Source organism: Homo sapiens, chromosome 1, assembly GCF_000001405.40.
Source record: "Homo sapiens chromosome 1, GRCh38.p14 Primary Assembly".
In the NCBI taxonomy this organism is placed as follows: domain Eukaryota; kingdom Metazoa; phylum Chordata; class Mammalia; order Primates; family Hominidae; genus Homo; species Homo sapiens.
Genome location: NC_000001.11, coordinates 173,426,428 through 173,451,267, shown reverse-complemented (window position 1 = coordinate 173,451,267; position 24,840 = coordinate 173,426,428). Strand labels below are relative to the sequence as shown.

General features: G+C 39.5%; 1 protein-coding gene and 2 long non-coding RNA genes across 3 annotated transcripts in view, besides 5 other annotated features; all 3 read left to right on the top strand.

The window, feature by feature from the left end:
• The window catches only part of LOC100506023 (uncharacterized), a 242,096-nt gene that overhangs the window by 25,888 nt on the left and 191,368 nt on the right, over positions 1 to 24,840 (top strand). The gene's annotated exons all lie outside the window — the stretch shown is intronic.
• PRDX6-AS1 (PRDX6 antisense RNA 1) overlaps positions 1 to 24,840 on the top strand; it is a 43,574-nt gene that overhangs the window by 10,095 nt on the left and 8,639 nt on the right. The gene's annotated exons all lie outside the window — the stretch shown is intronic.
• The window catches only part of TNFSF4 (TNF superfamily member 4), a 277,864-nt gene continuing 253,558 nt past the window's right edge, over positions 535 to 24,840 (top strand). The window contains exons 1-2 of the mRNA XM_047429896.1: positions 535 to 8,849; positions 9,220 to 9,349. Coding sequence (XP_047285852.1) covers positions 8,833 to 8,849; positions 9,220 to 9,349 — 147 coding nt within the window. The 5' untranslated portion in view covers positions 535 to 8,832. The remainder of the gene's footprint in view (positions 8,850 to 9,219; positions 9,350 to 24,840) is intronic.
• Positions 2,024 to 2,318: a silencer, noted in NCBI's record as "tiled region #679; HepG2 Repressive non-DNase unmatched - State 23:Low, and K562 Repressive non-DNase unmatched - State 23:Low". NCBI's record gives its function as "represses a minimal TATA promoter and a strong SV40 promoter by Sharpr-MPRA in HepG2 and K562 cells {active_cell/tissue: HepG2 | K562}" and the evidence as "EXISTENCE:reporter gene assay evidence [ECO:0000049][PMID:27701403]".
• Positions 2,024 to 2,959: a biological region, named in NCBI's record as "Sharpr-MPRA regulatory region 679".
• Positions 2,235 to 2,959: an enhancer, noted in NCBI's record as "OCT4-NANOG-H3K27ac hESC enhancer chr1:173417448-173418172 (GRCh37/hg19 assembly coordinates)". NCBI's record gives its function as "activates a minimal SCP1, AML or CMV promoter by ChIP-STARR-seq in naive H9 embryonic stem cells {active_cell/tissue: H9 hESC(naive)}" and the evidence as "EXISTENCE:reporter gene assay evidence [ECO:0000049][PMID:30033119]".
• Positions 6,164 to 6,383: an enhancer, noted in NCBI's record as "active region_2112". NCBI's record gives its function as "activates an Ori minimal core promoter by ATAC-STARR-seq in GM12878 lymphoblastoid cells {active_cell/tissue: GM12878}" and the evidence as "EXISTENCE:reporter gene assay evidence [ECO:0000049][PMID:35858748]".
• Positions 19,704 to 19,998: an enhancer, noted in NCBI's record as "tiled region #8886; K562 Activating DNase unmatched - State 25:Art". NCBI's record gives its function as "activates a minimal TATA promoter and a strong SV40 promoter by Sharpr-MPRA in K562 cells {active_cell/tissue: K562}" and the evidence as "EXISTENCE:reporter gene assay evidence [ECO:0000049][PMID:27701403]".

The following is a 24,840-nucleotide window of genomic DNA, read 5'->3' as shown; positions in this document are numbered from 1 at the left end:
CATCAATCTTTTGTATTCAGCAAATTGATTGTGCACATATTTTATTGTTTATAACTAAATATTTTCCTTATTTTTGGTGCTATTATAAGTGGTATTTTTGAAAAAAATTCAGATTTCAATTATTCATTGCTGGTATATCGGAATATAATTAACTTTTTTATATTGACTTGTACATATGCTGGCACCTTGCTAATTCACTTACTAGTTTAAAAGCTTTTTGTAGATTCAATGAAATGTTCTACATGAACATGTTATCTATGTATGAATAAATATATTTTTGCTTTTTCCCTTCCAATATTTATATCCTTTACTTCTTTTTATTGCCTTATTACACTGGCTAGCACTTTCAGTACACTGTCGAATGTGTCAAGAGAGGACAACTTTTTCTTCCCAGTCTTAGGGGGAAAGCATTAGTCTTTCATCATGAAGTATAAAGTTAGATGTAGGTTTTTCATAGATGCCTTTTATTAGTTTAAGGAAGTTCCCTACTCTTTCTTGTTTGCTGGAGTTTTTTTTTTTTTTTTTTTTTTTTATCATGAAGTGATTACTGAATTTATTCTAAACTTTTTCTTCATCCAATAAGATATTCATGTGATTATTCTTTTTTAGACTGTTGACGTGGTGAATTACATTGATGGCTTTTCAAATGTTGAGTGAGCCTTGCATTCTGGGGATAAGCCCCACTTGATCATGCCATATTATTAATATCTTTTAAATATATTTTTGGATTCAATTTGATAATATTTTATAAGATTTTTGTGTCTGTGCTCTTAAAGGATATTGGGTTGACATTTTCTTAATTGTAATGTCTTTGGTTTTATTGGGTAATGCCAATCTCATAAAATCAATTGAGAAGTGTTCCTTCCTCTTCTTTATCTGGAAGAGATTATGTAAAATTATTATTTCTTCCACAATGTTTGGTAAACTTCATCAGTGAAACCACTGGGGCCTAGAGAATTCTTTTTGGAAGGTTTAAACTACAAATTCAATTTAAAAGTTATACATACATATATATGAAATAAATCATTGCTTTAACATAAACTTTTTTCTTCCTGAATGAATTTGGTAATTTTTTTTAATTTTAAAAATTAGTGCATTTTGTCAAATTTACAAACAGCTTTTCATAGTACTGTTCCCTTGTTATCCTCTTAAGGTCTGTGGGGTTAATAGTGATGTTTCTTCTCTCATTTCTGATGTTTCTAATTTGCATCTTATTTTTCTTGGTCATCCAGGCTAGAGGTTTATCAATTGTGCTGAACTTTTAAAATAATCAACTTTTAGTTTCATTAATTTTCTCTATTGTTTTTCTGTTTCCAATTTATTTGAGTTCTGGTCTTCTAATAATACTTTCCTTCCTTCTACTTACTTTGGGTTTATTCTGTTCTTTTTCTAGTTTTGTCACTTGCAAGCTTAGATCCTTGATTTGAGATGTTGTTCTTTTCCAATATAAGCATTTATAAATTTCTCTAAATCACCGTTTTAAATGCCTTCTGCAAATTTTGATATGTTGCATTTTCTCTTTCATTTACTTTTCTAAATTCCTTTGTGGCTTTCCTTTTGGCCCATGGGTAATCCAGAAGTATGTTGGTGTATTAGTCCGTGCTTGCATTGTTATAAAGAAATGCCTGAGGCCAGGCACGGTGGCTCATGTCTGTAATCCTAGCACTTTGAGAGACTGAAGTAGGCAGATGCTTGAGACTAGCCTCAGCAACATGGCAAAACCCCGTCTCTACAAAAAATTAAAAAATTAGCTGGGTGTGGTGGTGCATGCTTGTAGTCCCAGATACTCTGGAGACTAAGGTGGGAGGATTCTTTGAGCCAGGAAGATGGAGGTTGCAATGAGCTGAGATTGTGCCACTGCACTCCAGCCTGGGTAATAGAGCAAGACTGTCTGTCACACACAAGAAAAAAAAAAAAAGAAAGAAAGAAGAAAAGAGAAATACCTGAGACAGGGTAATTTGTAAAGAAAAGAGGTTTAATTGACTTATGGTTCTGTAGGCTGTTCAGGAAACAGCTCTGGCATCAGCTTCAGAAGAGGCCTCAGGAAGCTTACAATCATGGCAGGTGAAGCCAGGAGTGGGAACACCACATGGTGAGAGCAGGAGCAGGAGTAGGGGGAGGTGCCACACACTTTTAAATGAGCAGATCTCACAAGAACTCACTCACTATTGTGAGGACAGTACCAAGAGGATGATGCTAAGCGATTCATGAAAAATCCACCCCCATGAGCCAATCACCTCCCACCAGGCCCCACTTCTAACATTGGGGATTACATTTGAATATGAGATTTTGGTGGAGACACACATCCAAACTTTATCGGTTGGTTTCCAAATATTTGGAGATTTACTAGATATGTTTCTTTTATTAATTTTTAACTTAGTTCCATTATGGTTCAAGAAGATTGTCAGGCCTCTGAGCCCAAGCCAAGCCATCGCATCCCCTGTGACTTGCACTTATACGCCCAGATGGCCTGAAGTAACTGAAGAATCACAAAAGAAGTGAAAATGCCCTGCCCCGCCTTAACTGATGACATTCCACCACAAAAGAAGTGTAAATGGCCAGTCCTTGCCTTAAGTGATGACATTACCTTGTGAAAGTCCTTTTCCTGGCTCATCCTGGCTCAAAAAGCTCCCCCACTGAGCACCTTGTGACCCCCACTCCCATCCGCTAGAGAACAAACCTCCTTTGACTGTAATTTTCCTTTACCTACCCAAATCTTATAAAATGGCCCCACCCCTATCTCCCTTCTCTGACTCTCTTTTCGGACTCAGCCCACCTGCACCCAGGTGGTTAAAAGCTTTATTGCTCACACAAAGCCTATTTGGTGGTCTCTTCACATGGACGCGCATGAAAAAGATTCTTTGTATGACTTCAGTTATTCCAAATTTGTGAAAGTTTGTTTTATGGTCCAGAATATGGTTTAGCATGGTGAATATTCCATGTGTGTTTGAAAAAAAAAGTTTTCTACCTTTGTTGGGTAGAGTGTTTTATAAAGGTAAATTATGTCAACTGGACATAACGTTGTTTGGGTCTCATCTGTTGGTACTGATTTTCTGTCTACTTCTATCAATTACTGTGAGAGGAAAGTCAAAGTCTCCAACTATGGTTGTGGATTTATCTAGTTCTCATTTCTGTTTCTGTTTTAAGTTTTTGGAACTTCTCTTAATAGGTGTGTACATTTAAGATTGTTATGTTTTCTTGATTAATTGAACCTTATCCCATTATGCAATATCTCTGTTTATCTTTAGTAGTATTTCTTGCTTTGAAATCTACTTTGATATTAATATAGCCACTACATTTTTTCTTTCGATTAGTGTTTGTATGGTATCTCTTCTTTCATCTTATTACTTCTATTCCCATCTATGTCTTTATTTTTAAAGTAGGTTTCTTGTAGATAGTTAGGTCTTATTTATTTTTAATCAAATTTGACAAACTCGATGTTTTAATTGGTGTGCTTAGATAATTTATATTTAATGTAATTATTGATATGTTTGAATTTATTTTATTATTGATTTTCTAGTTGTCTCCTCTGTCTTTAATTCCTCTGTTTTCCCTTTCTATTGATGTCTCACTATGTTTGCTGACTCTTTTTTTCTTTTTTCTGTATTTTGCTGTCGAACCCATCAATTGATTTCTTAACTTCACACAGTGTATTTTTTTCACTTCTAAAATTTCCATTTCATTCTTTAAAAAAATCTTTAAAAAGACTATTTTTAGAGCAGTTGTGGGTTCACAGACAAATTGAGTGAAAAGTACAGAGAGTTCCCATATGCCCTCTACCCCTACACATGCACAACCTCCCACACTGTCAACATCTGGTACCAGAGTGGTACCTTTGTTACGGGTGATGAACCTATACTGAAACCTCACTATCACCCAAAGTCCATAATTTACATAAGGGGTTTATTCTTGGTGTTGCAGATTCTGTGGGTTTGAACAAATCTATAATGACATATAGCCACCATTATAGTATCATACAGAATAGTTTCACTGCTGTAAAAATTGTCTATATTCTGCATATTCATCTCTCCTTCCCTGCTAAACTCTGGCAATCACTGACTTTTTTACTGTTTCTATACTTTTGCCTTTTCCAGAATATCGCATAGTAGGAATCATACAATATATAATCCTTTCAGATTGGCTTCTTTAACTTAATAACATGTATTTAAGTTTCTTCCTTGTATTTTCATGCCTTGATAGCTCATTCCTTTTAGAACTGAATAATGTTCCATTGTATGGATATACCACAGTGTATTAGTCAGGGCTCCGTGGAGGGACAGAACTAATAGGATAGATGTATATATGAAGGGGAGTTTATTAGGGAGTATTGACTCACATTATCACAAGGCAAAGTCACTCAATAAGCTATCTACAAGCTGAGGAGCAAGGAAGCCAGTCCAAGTCCCAAAACCTCAAAAGTAGGGAAGCCAACAGTGCAGCCTTGTCTGCAGCTGAAGGTCTGAGAGCCCTTGGCAAAACACTGGTGTAAGTCCAAGAGTCCAAAAGCTGAAGAACTTGGAATTTATTGTTTGAGGGCATGAAGCATCCAGCAGGGGAGAAAGATGAAGGCCAGAAGACCGAGCAAGTCTACTTTTCCATCTTCTCCTGCATGCCTTTATAGCTGTACTGGCAGCTGATTAGATGGTGCCCACCCAGATTGAGGGGGGGTCTGCCTCTCCCAGTCCACTGACTCGAATGTTAATCTTCTTTGGCAACACCCTCACAGACACACCCAGGAACAATACTTTGCATCCTTCAATTCAATCAAGTTGACACTCAGTATTAACCATTACACACAGTTTATTTATTCATTCACTTACTGAAGGACAGTCTTGGCTGCTTCAAGGTTTTGGCAGTTATGAATAAAGTCACTATGTACATCCATGTGCAGGTTTTTGTGTGGACATATGTTTTTAACTCATTTGAATAAATGCCAAGGGATGTGATTGCTGGATTGTATGTTAAAAATATGCTTAATTTTGTAAGATGGTTCTTTTTTTTTATAGTTTCTATTATTCTGCCAATAATTTCTGTTTTTTTCCCTTTGTTCAAGAGTGTTTATCTTTACTTTGTGGAGCATAGTTACGATAGTTGCCTTAAAATCTGTGCCTGATTATTCTACCATCTTGGTCTTCTCAGTGGTAGCATTTATTGACTGTACTTTTCATGCAAATTAGTAAACTTTTATTGGTTCTTTGTACGCTGAGTGATTTTAGATTGTATCCTGGACATTCTGAGTATTTAATTTGGATGTTTTTCATTAAAATCCTCAAGAGATTTGGAAGATTGTTTGCTTATTTGAGTAGGTAATCACACTGGTTTTGTTCAGACTATCTGTACTTTATGAGTGATACTTCCAATGTTATCTCAGTTTTCGGAACCTCTACTTGGCAGCTTTGAGTATGTTCCATGCATGCACAGCTCAGGGTTAAGCCTGGGCCTGTGCTAGGTCATACACAGAGTTAGGAGATCCATTTCTCTAATCTCTTATCTCCGGGACTCCCCATAGTCACCTACCTATATGTTTTCTATTCCTCATCCTCTGGCTCAATAGACCGGGGTTCTTTTGGAGTTTTGGCTGCCTGTGTTGCTACCAGGTCCTGTGACCAGGACCATTTTGGGTGCTATGTGGAGATGGAAAAAAGAGAGAGAAAATTTACCTACTGACTTACTCCAGTACTCTCTGGACCACAGGAGCCCTTTTCTGTTTGTTTAACTAGAAAAACAGAATTTCTATTGGGATTTTAGCCGACCATGCTACTTTTCACCCTGGCTCTGCTAGGCAAGCTGTGAAAATGGGGGAGGGAATGAGAATGCAAGGATTCCTTTCTATGTTCTTCAGCTTAAAGGATCCCAGCCTTCTTTCTAGACAGAAGGGATTTATCTGAAAGTATTAGCTGTCTGCAGCACCCCCATCGCAGCTCATTTGTGTGATTGCTTTCAGCCAAAGCCTGTGAAAAGAAAGAGGAAATAAAATGAGAAACTTAATCCTGTGCAAATTGCTGTTTCAGTTTTTGACTTCTCTTCATAATCTGACTGCATTTCTTTACCTTTCAGAGTCCTTAGGTAGTTGTTTTTTGTATTTTGTCCAGAGTTTTTAGCTGTAATCAGCAGAAGAGGTAGGCTTTATTGAATTCACTCTTGACTGTACTTTCTTTTATATTCTTTTTTCACTTCTATCTGTACTACCTCTCTCAAGATACAATGACTGACACTAATCCTATCCTTTTATTCTTTGAAGTAGAAACCATGACTATCCCTTTAAAGACCACATCTGTCACTTCAGGTATTTTTACTTGTGGCTTTCATTTGCTGGCTGAGCGGGTAAAGCCTGTTTAGGAGGAATACAATTCAAGAACCTCACTTTGAAGCTAACCATAGCAAACCTAGTTTACCTCTAGAATGCAGGTGACAGTGTGCAACCACTCCTGTCATCTGTCTTTTGTATGCTCTTCATAAGCAATCTTCCTCTTCCTTCCCAGTTCATTTATTTAGCCTCTGATTCATTCTTCTCTTCTCCCACCCCTTTCTCTTCTACCAGCCAGCCTACCAATACTTATTCTCTCTGAAAGGATCTTATCCTTTACCAGAAGTTCAGTTATTACCTCTAAGAACCAGTCCCTTCCCTTTTAAATTTTCTTTTCCCTGAAAGAGTCAGTTTTATGTATTAGAAAAATGAAGGTATATGTTTTCCTTTAAAGGGATTATAATCATTACAGAAAATTTGAAAGTTTTCAAAAAATTAAAAAAAAAACCCAGAATTTCCCAAAACCTGACTATCCAAAGAGAAGCACTTAATGTTATGTGTGTGATCTTGAGTGAAAATTTAAAATTTATATTAGAACATTTTATAAATTATCCAAACTTTTTGTACGAAAAAAACAGAAAATGTAAATAATAAGAAAAAAAAGCACTCATCATCCTACCATCTAGAAGTAAATACTGGTTTTAGTTCAGAGTATGTGTACAGATACGTGTGTGTGTGTTTGTGTGTGTGTTTGCAGGCTGCTTGGTTGGTTTGGGTGGGGAATAGTTGAGCCTGATCTGGGATCACAGCCTTGCTGTGTTGGAGAAAGGGGTCGGGTGGAGTGGGTGTTGGTATGCAAAGGTTGATTTAAATAAATGGTTTCGATTTTGGTATTTGGACAAGGCTTGAAGTGGAATCTCCTGGTGAACAAAATTGGGGAATGGAAAGAATTTGGTAGTGTTGTGTTTTGTGTCTTCCTGTCCCTTTTCTTCTGATTTCCCAAAGAGCTCACCCTGTTCTGTAGACTAAATCTTAGGCCTCTGTGGCAACAAAGACTATAGGCTAATGGCTTAGATGACAAAGAAAACAAGAGTTGGAAAGGGGCTTTCTCTACATTTCAATCAGAACATAGCAGGACTGCAGCACAGTCAGCACTGAAGTGAACTCCACTGCATCAGTTTTGTAGCATCAGGGAGTTCTAGAAAACAGTGCCTTGTGTTGGGAACTAGCATTCTACCAGTAACTATGATATTGGTGGAGCAAGGGTGAAGAGAGGACCAAAGTGGAGGAACATGAAGGAAAAACAATGAGCAAGTTATTAGAAGTAACCCATGAAGACTCCAAAAAAGAATTAGGGGTGACTTTACGGGGGAGAGAGGTCCTGGAGTCAAGAGCCTGAGGGTGTGTGTGTATAAATATGTGTCTATTTATATCTATATCAATCGCTATCTATATCTACATCTATCTTTCTTCGAAAATAGGACATTTTTACATCTACTATTGTATAATATTTCTTCCCTTAATAATATATCTTGAAAATCTTGTCATATCAAATATAGAAATATTTTATCATTTTAAATGGCTGCATTATATTCCATTGACTGCATGAGGATTCCATTGTAATCATTGTATGCATGTATGTGAGTATCAAAATTTATTTAACCATTATCTAGGTTGTTTTCAAGCTATTATCAATTTCTTATTAGCAGTTCATTTTATTATTAAAATAATAATGTATTTTTCTCCTTTAAAAAACAACATTGTTCTGGCTTCTCATACTTTCAGCCATAGAATCCTTAGATGGCATTTAAAAGTTTCTGACTTATTCTTTCTCATCTTTTCTGCATAACCACATTTAATCTGTTTTCAATTTGATATACATGGCCAGCGGTACTGCCCCAAAGGGAAGAGGCAAAATGGACCCTAATAGTGCCCACATGTTGCTCACCTTCTTTCCTGCCCATCTCAAGGCTCACTGTCTGGCAAGGATCTGTTAGACTTACATATTCTGAAATATAAATGTTGTAAAACTGAGTGGCCTGGCATGGTGGCTAACATCTGTAATCCCAGCACTTTGGGAGGGTGAGGCAGGTGGATCACCTGAGGTCAGGAGTTTGAGACCAGCCAGGCCAACGTGGTGAAACTCCGTCTCTACTAAAAATACAAAAATTAGGCCGGGCACAGTGGCTCACACCTGTAATCCCAGAACTTTGGGAGGCCGAGGCGAGCAGATCACGAGTTCAGGAGTTCGAGACCAGCCTGACCAACATGGTGAAACCCCGTCTGTACTAAAAATACAAAAATTAGCCAGGCATGGTGGCGGGTGCCTGTAATCCCAGCTACTCAGGAGGCTGAGGCAGGAGAATCACTTGAACCCAGGGAGGCGAAGGTTGCAGTGAGTTGAGATTGCATCACTGCACTCCAGCCTGGACGACAAAGCGAGACTCTGTCTCAAAAAAAAAAAAAAAACAAAAACAAAAACGAAAAACCAAAAACCGAAAACCAAACAAACAAAAAAACCCGAGTGGATTAGATTTCTCAGGGACATTTTCATTTTAAAGGCAACAAAGAAGTTTTAGAAGCAAATGATTGAAATTCTTAGGTATGTGGGAGAGGTGTTGCATTTGGTTTTGTTTTGAAGGGGTTCTGGGGAGGAGTTGGGGGAGCAGGATCACTTGGATACTCTTGAACTCCATCAGGACATGACCTGTTTTTCCTGAATGAAGGTCTGATCCTGGCGGTCCTGGTCTGTGTGGTGGGAATACTATACTATAGAACGTGGACTTACTGTGCATTTACTCCCAACTCAGCATTCAGTTATTTCACAGGGGGAGCTTGAAATCGGTCAGGGTAAGAGCATTTACACCATAGAAAGCAGAAAATACTACAACTCAGGTTTTTCATCACTCTCCTCCCAACCCAGATCCAGTTATTAAACATTACCAGCACAACATTGGCTTCTTATTCCTCAGTTTACCAGGCTGTTACTCAAAATTCACTCTCCAGCCCTGCTTTGGAGCAGTTGGGAACTTCAGCATTTTGATCCACCTTTTTGGAGCCACCTCATGTGAAAGATGGATGAGACCTTCGTCAGCAAACCTGGTAAGACCTCACCAGTCCTGTCCTGAGGAATGGGTGTTAGTTTTTGCCTTGCCCTTCACCCTGGAGAGTTAAGCATACGTTCTTTGGGTGGAGGTAAAATGTGACTACTCTCTCCACACCATGGGGAACATCAGAAACACAAGTATGCAAACACACATTCTTGTTCACCTATACACAAATAAATTCCCTTTTAGAGTGAAAACCAGACACTGTTTAAAGCGCCCACTTTAAAAATGAAAACTAAGACTTCTGAAAACAAGTAATAACAACTGATCTTTGGACTTAATTTTTTTTTGAGACAGAGTCTCGCTCTGTCACCCAGGCTGGAGTGCAGTGGCTCAATCTTGGCTCAGTGCAACCTCCACCTCCCGGGTTCAAGTGATTCTCATGCTTCAGCCTCCCTAGTAGCTGGGACTACAGGTGCACACCATCATGCCTCGCTAATTTTTTGTATTTTTAGTGGAGATGGGATTTCACCATGTTGGCCAGGCTGGTCTCAAACTCTTGAGCTCAGGCAATCCGCCCACCTTGGCCTCCCAAAGTGCTGGGATTATAGGGCTTGAGCAATGGTAAGGGAGGGGAGCTATAAGGAAGGAGAGGAAGTGAGATTGAGGTAGAAACTAGGAAAAGCAAAGAGAAGGGAGGGGAAAAAGGATGAAAAAGAAGAAAAGGGTGAGAAGTAAAAGAAGCAAGTAGGGAGGAAAAGTTTGGAGAGGGTGGATAGGAGAAAAAAGTGGACTGTGGAATGGAAGATGAGGAGCCTGCTGGGCTTTGGGGTGAGTGTGGTGGTTGGAGTTGAACTGTTTTGGTTTCCTTGGGCACAGGCCCTGAGAGGAGGTTACCCCTGCTCTGACTGCACTCAGAGGTTTAGTAACAATAATATTCTAAGCTTTTATTTTTATTTCCATCTTTATTGTCTATTTTTGACAATCAGAATATTTTCTACTGGGATTTTAAACATCTTCACCTTGCGACAAAATTACTTAGAACTAAAGATTTAGAAATTTAGTGATTAATATTAGATTGTATTAATATGTATAGCCTGTATTTTGCTTTGATGGATTTTAAACCTTACAGATTGCATTAATTATTTTTAGGAAAGATTGAGAATGTGTCATTTCATAATGTCTAGATATTGCATCTTATTAAAAAATAAACCTATTTTTAGTCTACGTAGGAGCTGGTATGAGGATCACACAATGCAAGCAAATAAAATGAGAAAAGATGATTCAACAAGAGGCTTCACTGATTTACTGTTTAACTGCTTTGACCAAAGTGCTTGGTTCTTATATGAATAAGAAAGGGGATGAGTTATCCACCAGAATGAAAGTTATATTCTGGTTTGAAGCTTCTGCTGTCAGATAATATAGTTTTCTATAGTGTGGAAGAACAGCATCATCTTCAAGCAAGGTGGAATTAAGCATGGACAGAACTGTGTTTCTCACCCAGGAGGAGGGTAGGTTTTTTTTTCTTTTTTACTTCTTAAAACTTATTTTAATATTATTCTTCCCTCCCCCACCCCATTGGGAAAAGGCTAAAACAATCTGGATGGGTTTAATTAGAAATTAATACATACTGTCATTGTATAAAGTAAATCAACATTGTGGCAACAAGGGACTATTCTTGGAAAAAGTGAAACCCATATTAACAAAATATGTCATGGAAGATCCCCACATAGTGATTTCACTGGCTGCCTGAAAGACAGACAGTGTAAAGGTCGATGTTCTGCATGTTCTCTGGGGCTTGTCCATGCAACGGAAGAAGGTCTTTCCCAGACTCAGCCAAGCCTAGTTAGCTCCAACCAGGCCCTAGACCAAAAGCAAGGGAAGAGCACATCCTTTCAATAGAATAAGGGTAGAAAGGGATTCTCTGAATGTAGTAACTATGAAGCTATGCCAAAGGTAGGCAGAAAATGGGCTTGGGAGCCAGACACTCCAGGGTTCAGTAGTTCCTACCCACAGTCTTTGTGTGCTTGCTAAATGGTGTACATTTCTTGTTAACCACGTTATTAAAACTTGATCAGCATGTAAGCTTTCTTCTGTTAGATCTTTTGGCAGCAAACAACCTTCCCCCCAAGCCTCTGAATTTTGGAGGAGGGTAGGCTTGATGAATTGTTTAGAAATTTTGTGTTTGGTGGTGGCAGGAGGGGAGGGATCATGCGGCCTTCTGGTCACAAGCAAGCCTGCAGAAGATTCAGTGGCCTTTCCAGTTGACTTAGACAGCCTGTGTCCCTGGTGTCACTGACTGGCACCTATAGCAATACTTGGTGTTATTTAGCTTCTTGTCACATACAACTTTCTTCTCTTCTTTCCTTCAATTGTCCCTTTCCTCCTGACTTCTGTGAGGGATAGCAGGATTGAGGCCACAGGCTGCCACTCAGGGCATTCACTCTCTGATAAGAGTCAGTAAGGCAGAGCCACTGGTGCCCCCTGAACCCCTGCTGCAGGTGGGCAGAGGCTGGGCTGCTAGTGTGGTATCCAAAGGACAGTAGCTGTGCTCACTATGGCAGAGTCTAATTTTGAGATGTTGGGGATTCTGGAGAAGAAACATTTTGTGTGCTGCTGAGTCATTAGGAATTGACCATTATAGGTAGTAAATAGCAGAACAGAAGAAAGAAACAAGACTGATCATGAAATAATTGGAGCGAGGAGTTCTGCTGACTGTAACAATGTAAGACATTTGCATGTACATTGTGTGGTTGATTAGGAAAGAAGCTCTTTGTTCTGAAATGTCTTCATCAGTGAAAGTTGAAGAGATATGCTCAGCTGGGATACAGTGAACTCAATCTACTCCTCCAGGACTGGATCTGCAGAACTCAGATCTACCTTCCATGACAGCTTCTGGCCGTTGGCATACAGAGCTCTCCTCTCTCTCTGCACGTAGCTTGTCACTCACTCAGCTTGTATTGATGGGGTGGGGCAGTCTCAGATTGTTTTATAGGTGCAATTATTTAACTTCTTTAGATGAGGGTTGTGCTTTATGTTACTCTCTGAAGCCTCATTTATTTGCCACATGGTGGGTACATGAAGATACATGCTAAATGAAAGTTGTGCAAAGAGCTCTGAACTTGGAGGCAGATGACCTTGGACTTTTACTCAGTCTGTGTTACACATGAGCTTGGATAAGACTGATCTTTCAGCTTTCTTCAGACCTTAAGCATGAGATATAAAACAAGTAGAACATATAAATAAATAGAAGAAAATATACACAAATATTACATGATCTTTGAATTGTAAGACTCACTAAGCATAAATGCCACTGAAGAAACCACAAAGAAGAGATTTGCCAGTATGGAAAGCTTTTTAATTCTATATATCAGAAAATATAATAAAATTAAGAGGCAAATGACCTATTGAGAAAAATACTTCTACTTGGTAAGTCGAAGTATAGAAAATAAGCAAAAGATACAGTTCACAAAGAAAAAAATACAATCAGCTGATAAATATATGTGGTCAAAGAAGTACACTTTAAATCTACAGTGAGATACTTTTTAATCAGCTCAAATTTTCAGGGGGACCCATTCAGTCTTATATGATGCTGGTGGAAGTGGAAATTTCCTGGAGCAGTGTGTATTAAGAGCCATAAAAATGCTATTTCCTTGAAGTTAACAAGAAACTTGCTAGACCTGTATGAAGGATGCCAACTTAAAACAATTTATAAAATGTATTTATTTATTTTTTTCATGTTGTATAGGTTTTAATGTTTTTGAAACAAAATTAACCCATGGTAGACTTTGGTGGACAATGTGAGTCTTCTACCTAGATACTCTCTAATTTAGTCAGGGTTTAATTAAAGAAATAGAAGTACTAGGATAAAAATGTATTTGTTTTTACTGGGGGACATACCATGTTTCTGAATGGAAAGATTCAGTTTTGTAGGTATACAAATTTTCCCAAATTAATATTTAAGTTTAGTGCAATTCCAATAAAAAATTCTAGTGGGATTTTATTGGGGAGGGGCAGGTGTGATGGGAATTGATGATGTGATTTTAATTTTTCTTTTATGTTCTGAGTAAAACATTTTCTTGGGGTGCAGAAAATTTTATGATGGAAGAATAAGAAAACTAAGAATATTTTGAATAGGAACAATAAGTAGGAAAAATGTTTGCAATGGGATATTAATATGTATTATAAACCCACAGAATCTGAAGACAAGAGTGATGGACTGTATATAGATGGAACAGAATAGAGTGACCACATATGAACCCTAGTGTATGTGGGAATTTAGCATGTGATAAAAATGAAGAAAAATACAGTGAGGCAAAAGGTGGTTTTGGGTCAATTGAGAATCAGTTTGGGAAAAAGTAACAATAGATTTTTACCTAAAAGAGTACAAGAAAACAAATTCCAAATGGAATTAGTTAAATGTGGGAGAAGGACACTAAAAAACTTGAAAATAAAGATGAATGCCTATATAATTTTGTAGTGAGAAAGACCTTTGTAAGTACAGAAAAGCTGTAAAGGAAAAGACTGATAGAACTGGTTATATAATAACTTAAAGCTACAAACTAAATTAATAAGCAAATAATTAATAATAAGCTATTTACAACAAAAAAATTAACAAAGTTAAAGTACTTAAAAAAGAAAAAGCCGAGAGACCTTGTCTGGCCACCCTCAGGTTGGGTAATTCACAAGAATGACACACAGTACTCAGGAAAGCAGTTTTATTATGCTTACAATTTTATTATAGCAAAAGGACACAGATAATAAAATCAGCAGAGGGAAGCGACATAGGGCAGAGCCTGGAGGGGTCCATGCACAGGGCTTCCCATCTTCCTCTCTCTACAGAGTCATGGATTGTGTTACCTCCTGGTTACGATGTGTGACAATACATACAGAATACTGCCAACCAGTGATGCTCACCTGAGCCTTTGATGTCCAGAGGGTCAAAGCCCTCACCATAAATCACATCTCTAGACTGGTGGCCAAAGCCCTCAGGCCAACAAAGATACTCATAACACGCTGGGCATTCCAGGGGCCTAGAGATCACCTCCCGGTAGCCAAAAGCCCTAAGTTAATTCTTCACTACACAGAAACCTATCATTTTATCCCTATCAAGTTGACAAAGTGTACCAGATGCCATCAGCGCTGGGACACATTTCTGGACATTTCAGCGCTCCCCATTAGATTTCTAAGGGCAGTATTTGCAACTCCATGCCTGAGGGCTTAAAAAAAAATGCTGAAGGCCCTGTGCCCTTTTCCTTAAGTAGCCCTCACTTGGCAGTGGCTCACACCTGTAATCCCAGCACTTTGGGAGGACAAGGCAGGTGGATCATGAGGTCAGGAATTCAAGACCAGCCTGGCCAAGATGGTGAAACCCCACCTCTACTAAAAATACAAAAATTAGCCAGGTGTGGTGGCAGGTGCCTGTAATCCCAGCTACACAGGAGGCTGAGGCAGGAGAGTTGCTTGAACCCGGGAGGGAGAGGTTGCAGTGAGCCAAGATCATGCCACTGCACTCCAGCCTAGGTGACAGAGTAAGACTCCGTCTCAAAACAAAACAAAACAAAATGGTAGCCCTCACTTAATGACTTTTGGAGTTGTCATGTAAGACCTTAGCCCTTTAGGTGGGATAATGCTGGGGCATTTTGTATTATTTCCCAGAGTTTCTCTGCAAGATTAAGTTCCAGTTGCCCACTGTGATAGGTGGCTTAGTAATGCACCCTTTATTGGCTGCCTTCGCTTCTGGTTACTTCTTACCCATATCCATCCCTCTGTATTTCTGTATTACTCAGATAAACTGCCTGCACTTGAATCCTTGTCTCAGTGTCTGCTTCTGGGAGATAACAAACTAAGACATAAAATTTAAAATGAAATTCAGAGGTGGCATGAGTACATGGAAATAGATGTTCTTCTCTGCTCCTTTGTGGAGTGTAAATTGGTTCAACCTTTTTGGTGGATACTTGGGAAATATTTATCAAGTAGCTTTAAAATATGCATAGTCTTTAACTTAGTAATTCTACTTCTGAGAATGTTTCCTGAGAAATAGCTATGGATGTGTACTAGGTTTTCTTTTCTGTTTTCTAAACAATAAACTACTTTGAAAATGAGGAAAGGACACTAAATGACATTCATGGGTAAAGCTTTTATGTCTCATTATATTAAAGGTAGGATGCAACAAATAATTGACTACAGTTTTTCTTTCATAAGCAACTATTAATCTTTAAAAAACTTTCCTCAGAGGTAGATTAACTTTTATTGAATATAGCTGTTAATAAGAAATTTTAAATTGATTGCATACTGTATTAGTTGGCTTGGGCTGCCATAACAAAATACCATAGACAAGGTGTTTTAAACAACAGAAATAGAAATTTATTTTTTCACAGGTTTGGATGCTGACAGGTTCAAGATCAAGGTATTGGCCAGTTAGTTCCTAGTGAGGGCTCCTTCCTGCCTTGTAGATGTGTGCTCATGCGGCAGGGAGAGAGAGTAAGCTCGCTGGTGTCTCCTCTTATAAGGACACTAATCCTATTTCATTGGGGTCTACCTTTATGATCCCATTTAACATCAGTTACATCCTTACACCAAATACAGCCACACTGGGGGTTAGGAGTGCAACACATGAACTTTGGGAGGACACAATTCAGTCCAGAGCGTAAACTAATAAATAGCTCAGTTATTTAGTAAGTTTTAGAATGTTCTTATTTGCTCCTTTTGTTCTTTTCCAGCTCTCTGGGTCATATCTATTGATGAGTATCTCTAGTAGGTAAAGCCTGTCTCCCATCACTTTCTGGGTCCATCTATATAGGGGTTTTTGATGCCATTGTCCAAAAGACTTGGCTTTACTGCTTACCAGCAAGATAGGATCAGGACTATCAGATATGGTCATGAGTGACCACGAAGCTGAGAGTTGCAGCAGTCCCCTCAGCCTTCCATTGGTTGCCCCTGTCCTGTTTTCATGGGCCAGCTCATAGGTGGAACCTCAGTATTATTCATGCCCAGCACTCCAGTTTTTCACCAGAGATGAATCCTAGGCCATTTGGCTGTGATCCTCTTTCTTTCTTCAGTGTTTCACTATTTTGTCCCATGGGGCATTAGATTTCTCTCCCAGTCAAGAGCACATCTGACACTGAGAATTTCTCTGGATATTCTTCTGTCTGCCAAATCAGATTTCCTCAACTAAAATCCTGCGTGATCCACAGTTACATTCACCATTCTCTTTAGACACTGTATCTCAATTACCCAGATGGTATTATGGTTCCGGCCTCTGCAGAGGAGTGTCTTTGCTGGCATTTGGTCTCCATGGCATCGAATACCTTGCACACTTTTGTAGCCACTCCCATTTCATGACCCTCAAACCTCCCAAATGTTGAATGGTAACTTTTAGAAAACTACCAAGTAACGTGGATAACACATTCCCCAGCACATCCATGAACTCTCATCTGTTTGCACCCATTGTTCACTCTACTCCAATGCTATGCCTCACTGGCATCTTCTTTTGATTTGGCACTTGGTGATGAAAAAGGTGAAAGGTTAACCCACTGATTGCTCACTTACCAGTCTCACTTGCTCACTTTTCTGCCAGGTCTCCTAAGTGATCTTTCGTGTAAAAAGAAGTTTAGAAAATGCTTTAGGATAAATTGTATGAGGTTCAATAGGGACAAAAAAGCACCTACATCATAATAACAGTTAACATGCACTTGTAATATCCTAATTAGATACAAGACAAGAAAATATAAGGGAAGGTAAAGTAATTTAAAACAACTGTGCATTAGTTTTCTAGGGATGCTGTAAGAAAATACCACAAACTGAGCAGATGACACTGCAGAAAAGTGTGTCTTATGATTCTGGTGGCTAGAGGTGTGAGAACAAAGTGTTAGCCAGGTTGGCTCCTTCTGAGGGCTGTGAGGGAGAGTCTGTTTCATGTTTCTCCCTTAGCTTTGGGGTGGCTTGCTGGTAATCTTTGGCATTCTGTAGCTTGTGGCAGCATAACTCATCTTCACTTGGCATTCTCCTTTTACATATGCCTGTGTCCAAATTCCCCCTTATAAGGACACCAGCCTTACTGAATTAGGGGCTATTTTACTCGGATATGATCTCATCTTAACTGACTACATCTGCAACAACCCTATTTCCAAATAAGGCCATATTCAGAGGTACTGGGGAGATAGGACTTCAATGTATGAATTTTGAGGGGACAAAATTCAACCCGTAACAACTTGGAAGTCTTTGTGGTGGATCGAAAGTTGAGTCAGTCAGTTTCTTTTATTTTTTTTTGAGACGAAGTCTCACTTTGTTGCCCAGGCTGGGGTGCAGAGGCATGATCATAGCTCACTGCAGCCTTGATCTCCCCAGGCTCAGGTGATCCTCCCACCTCTGCCTCCCTAGTAGCTGGGTCTACAGGTGCATGCCACCATAGCCAAGTATTTTTTTTTTTTTGTATTTTTTGTAGAGATAGGGTTTCGCCATGTTGCCCAGGCTGGTTTGGAACTCCTGGACTCAAGAGTTCCACCAACCCTGGCATCCCAAAGTGCTGGGATTACAGGTGTGAACCATCTCGCCTGGCCAAGAGTCAATTTCTTAAGAGATGTTTGTTTACTTATTTATTCCTTGTTCGGGGGTAGAATTATTGTACCTAGCTGCCACCCTTAAGACTATACTGCAAGTCTGTATATGAGTAAATTTCAGATTAAGAGCACACTGTGTTTGGGGCACTTGAGACAACACTCCTTATTGTGACTACTTTAGATGGCCTAAAAGGGCAGCGTAATACGAGGAGTCTTGGGGACTGCCACAATACATTTATATTTCTGTGCCTTCAAAGGGTTAGTGAATTAGTACTCCTGAGACTTGACATCTTGTTTGCTTATTTTTATTTTCCCAGTGTCTAGTATAGGCAAAAAGTTCCTGGCAAATGGGTCAATAAACATTGAGTTAATCTTACCAATCAATGCTAAGATGTATATGTATATGTTACGTATATGTGTATATGTACATACATACATATTTTCACATTTTACCGTCTTTGAAATAAAAACTGTCTTACAATACATGGAGCATAACAATTGTCACTTTTCTTCTCTTAATAGCAAATACAGTAATGCCTTATAAGCATTGGTTTCTTAGATTTGATGAAATGGGATATTTGCACAAAATTTACCTAAGAAATTGCTGTCGTTTTTACATGAACAAGGTAGATTATAGGTAAAACACCTAAAACTGGTTTTTAATGCTCCTTCATTTTTTTTTTTTCAGGAGAGTTCTGTATTCCTCAAAGATCCCTCAAGAATTTTGTCAGTGTTGCCATAACCTCTTGTTTATTAGTCTGCTTGGGTTGCCATAAAAGAATGTACACAGACTGGGTGGCTTAAACAACAGACATTATTTTCTTACAGTTCTAGAGTCTAGAAGTCCAAGATCAGGGTGCCAGCAGGGTTGGTTTCTAGTAAGGCAACCTTCTCACTGTGTGCTCACATAGACAAGGCCTTTCATCTGTGTGCGTTTGTGGAGAGAGATCTTTGGTGTCTCGTTCTCTTTCTATAAGGTCACCAGTCCTACTGGATTAGGGCCCTACCCTTATGAACTCATTTATCTTTAATTATTTCCATAAAGGCTCTGTTTCTAAATACAAATACATTGGGGATTAGGACTTCAACATATGAATTTGAAGGGTGGAGGTACACAATTCATTTCATAACACTCTGGTTTGGATGGCAATTGTCTAACAAAGATCTAGTTGTTTTGGACTCGGGTGGCTGTGAGCTGGTCTCTGGGTTTGGACTGGATTCCTCACTGGGGAGCAACCCCTCGCCCTTTATCACCTGTTTATAGCATATTACTAGGAAGTGATGTGTCTTGCTTCACATTATTACGTGCCAAATGCTAATTGTGGAGGACCTCTTCTGCTTCTACCCTCTTAGGTCTTAGCCATTAGGTATTAGTTGTCAATCCTTAAGGCCTCCTTCACCCAGTTCTTTTAGGTCCTCTCAGGGCATTGCTACACTCTGCTGATTTCACTTTGCTACTATTATCAAGTGTGTATTCTAGCCAAGGGGGCTACATACTGAGCTTCAGCACCAGCCTGTGTTCATGATACATCATTGGTCACAAGTGAGGCTGGAGGAGAACTCATCTGCTGAGGAAGTAAGCACATGACCTGTCACCAAGGAGTCACCATTTGGCCAAGATCGAAATCCAACACTAAACTTCATTACACATCACCATCAGGTTGCAGTCCTGAACATGCATTGTATTCCATGCCTTGCGAGACCCTGAAATGTTGTCAGTGAAGGACAGCAGGCAAGGTAGTGCATGTGAAAACAATTGTTGACCATGAAATATTTTATTCAGAAATGAGTAAAAAAGAATCTTTGTAGCAGCCAGCCTTTCCCCTGGGGGAGAAAGCTCAGCAGTTGGTTTGGTCAGTTGGTTCACTGAAGGCAGATGAATTGGCACTTTGCAGTTGAGAGCCAATGCAGGCTCACGGAGGTGGCTTCTTTCTGCAGGCTGATTTTGGGCCCCCAGCAGGGCCCAAGGCCCAACAATCAGCGCATGGCTCTTAATTCTGTGCAACTAACAAATCCCGTCCCAGTGTGCTGAGAGCGCCCTCTAGTGCCCAGAAACTTCCTCAAGAATGGAGTGTAAAGACCTTTAAGGACCTTCATCAGGAAGGAACCACCATACTTTTGAATTTCAAGCCTAACCTGAAGATTATTATTTAAGGAAACCGACAAATTTTCTCAAAGAAATTATTGTATTGGAAAATATTTAGAATGCAAACACATTCTCCAAAGAAAACCAAAGACAACTACAGTGATTCATTTACTTTAGGTCTACAACAACAAAATATTAATTTAACAATACAAATAACATGCCCTTTAGCTCTTTGAAGGATGGCAATGAGGAAAACTGGAAAATAATGATCTAGCAATTACTGGCTGAACCACATTCTAAGAAATGTTAAGATAACAGGTGAACATTCAAAATTCAAATTTACCACTTTGGAGGCTGCTTATTTGCATGACAAATGGATTCTTTGTTTTACAGAAAGGCTTTCTCACAGGCCTGGGTTTTATTACCAATTAGCCTTAACCCCAGCAGAGCTTTAATTAGAATGCAAAGGGTTTGTGGGATCTGTGGGCACTGGAGGAAGAGTGTCTTATGTTGAGATTTTTATAGGATTAAGTACACAGCCTCTGAGTTACATCTGCTATATATAGCACAAATTATATAAACGTTGGTATTGCCTGTCACCTAATACAATTATTTGTGCAGACAGAGTATGACATTAATTCCTGCAGTGAACAACTCTATAGACCCTTCACCCTAATGTGTCCATTTAAATGGAGCCCTATTTGCTATGCACACACTTTTTCAAAGAATCTGTTAGAGAATGTGAATACCAAGTTATAAGCAACAAAAAAGAAAGCAACAAAATATAATGAAATCCCCATTACATCCCTTTGCCCTATAATACTTTCCCTTGACTTTGCTATAAGCATTCCTCTGGCATTCCCACTCCTGACCCACAAGATTATTAAATGTTTATTGTCTCAACTAACTATGCCAACAGGTTCGTAATATCGATACAGAGAAAGTGGAAGACTCTGTGAAAGTTATTTACATTAAACATGCAAGTGTAAAAAAGGATTGTTGAGCAACAGGAGTGAGCTAAGAAGGCAGTTGTGAATTCTGTGCATTCAAGATGAAACAATGTTATTTGTGTGTGTTAGCTGCCTGGCTGAGTAAATAAAGAAGATTCAAATTTGGCGCAGCTGTTCTTTCTCAGTGCTGCCTGGATATTAGATTCCCTGCAACCGTCTGTGTGCTTAGACCCCGCGTTCCATTGCGTAGGCTGCTGGCAGGCCTTTTTTTAGCGGAATGCAGCTGGGAGCAGGAAGGGTGGAGCCTGCTGGGGTTTGACTCAGCAGCTGTGGGCGAGGCCCTACACACTCTGTCTTGAGGACTGTGATAAAGGTTAAAAATAAAGGATAGCACTTGAGTGGGCTTCATAAGGAGTAGCAATCTAATTATAGGGCTTATTTTTACAAAGCAGCAGCTGACAGCGTCAGCCCAGCACGTCCTAAAAGTTCTTAGTAAGGCAGGAAGCTGCTACATTTGCTATGACCAATGTCACTTTAAGGGGTCTTGGCAATTACATTCTCACTCAACTTTTCCTTCTGCAACAAGGATATATGAGGGGGATTAGAGGATATTGCAAAAGCTCACCTTTTATTCAGACCCAATTAAAAACTAAACCCACTAAATCAACTTCCTCTCTCCCTTCTCAAACATTTATAAAGCGCCACCACGCGGCAGGCACAGTGCTGGGTGCTGCCATTCACACCCCACATGGTCTTTTCCCACAGCTGGTGGAGGTTGTGGCGTAGCCTGTGCTCAGTCTTGGATCTGTCTCTTGAGGACCAGTTTCTCTTTGGGCTCTTGTTTCCAAGAGCCATGGAGAATGAGCAGAGCAGCATCTAACAAAGGACGGGGTCCCCTCTCAGCTTCTCTGTCTTCACAAGTGAATGTCACACATTTTAAACTAGAACTCTTTCTACTTATTTAGCACCTAACAGATGCTACAAGAATTCTGGTTACTTTTTCTTTTCTGTTTGGGTCGGGAGCACATGTCTAAGTGTGACAAATGTGAGCAGATTATTTGGAGAGGTGAGGAAATACAAGAAAGAGGGGGGCCAGTCTTTTCTCTCTTTTGGAAAAATAATCATTTTTCGTAGAAACCAGATACTTTCATAATACTCTTTTTTTTTAAAGAAATGTTTTAACATGAAAAAAATTTCAAAGATACATACAAGTAGAGATAATAGTGTAATAAGTCCCCATGTACTTTTTGTCCAGCTTTAACAATTAGCAGCATGTGGCCTGATTTTGTTTTACACATATCCTCTCTCCTGTATTATTTTGGAGCAAATTTGATATGTTATTTCTTTCTTTCTTTCTTTTTTTTTTTCCTTAGACAGAGTCTTGCTCTGTCACCCAGGCTGGAGTGCAGTGGCACAATCTCGGCTCACTGCAACCTCCGCCTCCCAGATTCAATAAATTCTCCTGCCTCAGACTCCCGAATAGCTGGGATTACAGGCACCTGCCACCATGCCTGGCCACAAGTTTTGTATTTTTAGTAGATACGGGGTTTCACCATGTTGGCCAGGCTGGTCTCGAATTCCTGACCTCAGGTGATCCTCCTGCCTTGGCCTCCCAAATTGCTGGAATTACAGGCATGAGCCACTGCTCCCAGCCAATATGTTATTTCATCTGCAAATATTTCAATATGTAGTTCTATAGATAATAATTCCTTTTTAAAAAGTAACCACAAAACAATAAATTCAACTAACATTAGCAATAATTCATTAATATCATAAACTAGTCAGTATTTAAATTTATAATTATCTCATAAATGCATATGCACAATTTTTACAGCTTGTTTGAATTAAGATAAAAATCAGCTGCACATATTATAGTTGGTTCCTTTTTCTCTTAAATCTTTTATTCCATAGATTCCCCTTCCATGTCCCTCTCTGTTTTGTTATCCTGGCAATCAGTTGAAAAACTGAGTACTTTGTCCTGTAGATTTTTATGGATTGGATGCCTGTGGTCCTCTGTAACAGTATCCTCCATTTTCTGTTTCTTGTAAATTAGTACAGTCATGCCCCTCATAACAAAATATTCTGTCAACGATGAACCATTATGGATGGTAGTCCCATAAGATTATAATAGAGGTCGGGCGTGGTGGCTCACGCCTGTAATCCCAGCACTTTGGGAGGCTGAGGCGGGTGGATCACTTGAGGCCAGGAGTTGGAGACCAGCCTGGCTAACATGGCAAAACATTGTCTTTACTAAAATAAAAAAAGTAGCCGGGTGTGGTGGCGGGTGCCTGTAATCCCAGCTGCTTGGGAGGCTGAGGCAGGAATCGCTTGAACCTGGGAGGTGAAGGTTGCAGTGAGCCAAGATCGCACCACTTCAGCTTGGGCAACAAAGCAAGATTCTATCTCAAAAAAAAAAAAAAAAAGATTATAATGGAGTTGAAAGATTCCCATTGCTTAGTTATGTAGCCATTGTAACATGGTAGCACAACACATTACCTTTTCTATGTTTAGATATGTTGCAATACACACTATTGTGTTACAGTCGCCTACAGTTTTCAGTACAGTAACATGCTGTACAGGTTTGTAGTCTGGGAGCAATAGGCTGTACCATATAGCCTAAGTGTGTAGTAGATTATACCATCCAGGTTGTGTAAGTACACTCTGTGATATTTACACAATGAAATCACCTAATAACACATTTCTCAGAATGTATTGCTGTCGTTAAGGGATGCATGATTATAGTTGACTCTAGAGACTTATCAGAGTCAGGTTTCATTTTTCTGTCAAAACGACTTCATACATGGTAGAAAAATCTCATGTCTCTCTTTTTTCCCGATGACATTCTTTACACTGTCAGTGTAGTTTCTGAACTTAGTTGCAATCTGTAAGAGAGGGTTTCTTGACTTCATCACTATTGAAGTTTTGTACCAGCTAATTCTTTGTTGTGGGGTCAGTGGGGGGGCGGGCTCTCCCGTGCATTGTGGAATGTTTAGCAGCATCCTGGTCTCTACCCACTAGATACCAGTAGCAGCCACTCCCCAGTTGTGACAATCAAAAGTATCTCCAGACATTGCCAAATATCCTTTGGGAGGGTAGGGAAAAATCATCCCTGGTTGAGAACCACAGCTGTAGACTAACCATTAGTTATTCTGAAAGGTTATCTGTCCACAGCCTTTAACGTTTCAAGTGCTAATCCATTGACCATGAGACCTAGGCCATTCACTATGATTATTGTATTGATTTTTTGTTGGTGCTGTGACAAATTACTACAAATGTAGTGGCTTAAACAATACAAATTTATTATCATACAGTTCTGAAGGTGACGAGTCCAGATTGGGTTTCACAGGGCTAAAATCAAGGCATCAGGAGGGCTGTGTTCCTCCTGCATGGCGTTTTTCTTTGTCTTCAGAGCCTACAGTATAGCATCTTCCAGTCTCTCTCTCTCTCTGACTGTCTTGCATCCCCCTTATAAGAACCCATGGGAGCTGTGCGCAGTGGCTCACGCCTGTAATCCTAACACTTTGGGAGGCTGATGCAGGAGGATCATTTGAGCCCAAGAGTTTGACAGCAGCCCTGGCAACATAGCGAGACCTTGTCTCTACAAAAAAATGAAAAAATCTGCTGGGTGTGGTGGTGCGTACCTGTAGTCCCAGCTACTCGGGGCCGAGGTGGGAGAATTGCTTGAGCCCGGGAGGTTGAGGCTGCCGTGAGCTGTGTTGTGTCACTGCACTCTAGCCTGGGTGACAGAGCAAGACCCTGTCTCAAAGTAAAATAAAAATTTAAAAAATGAACCCATGGGATTACATTGGGCCCACTGAATAGTCCAGAATAACCTCTGTATTTAAAAGTCCTTTATTTAATCATAGTTGCAAAGTCCCTTTGACCATGTAAAGCAGCACATTTACAGGTTCTGGGGATTAGAATGTTAAAGCTCAGAAAACAACACTCC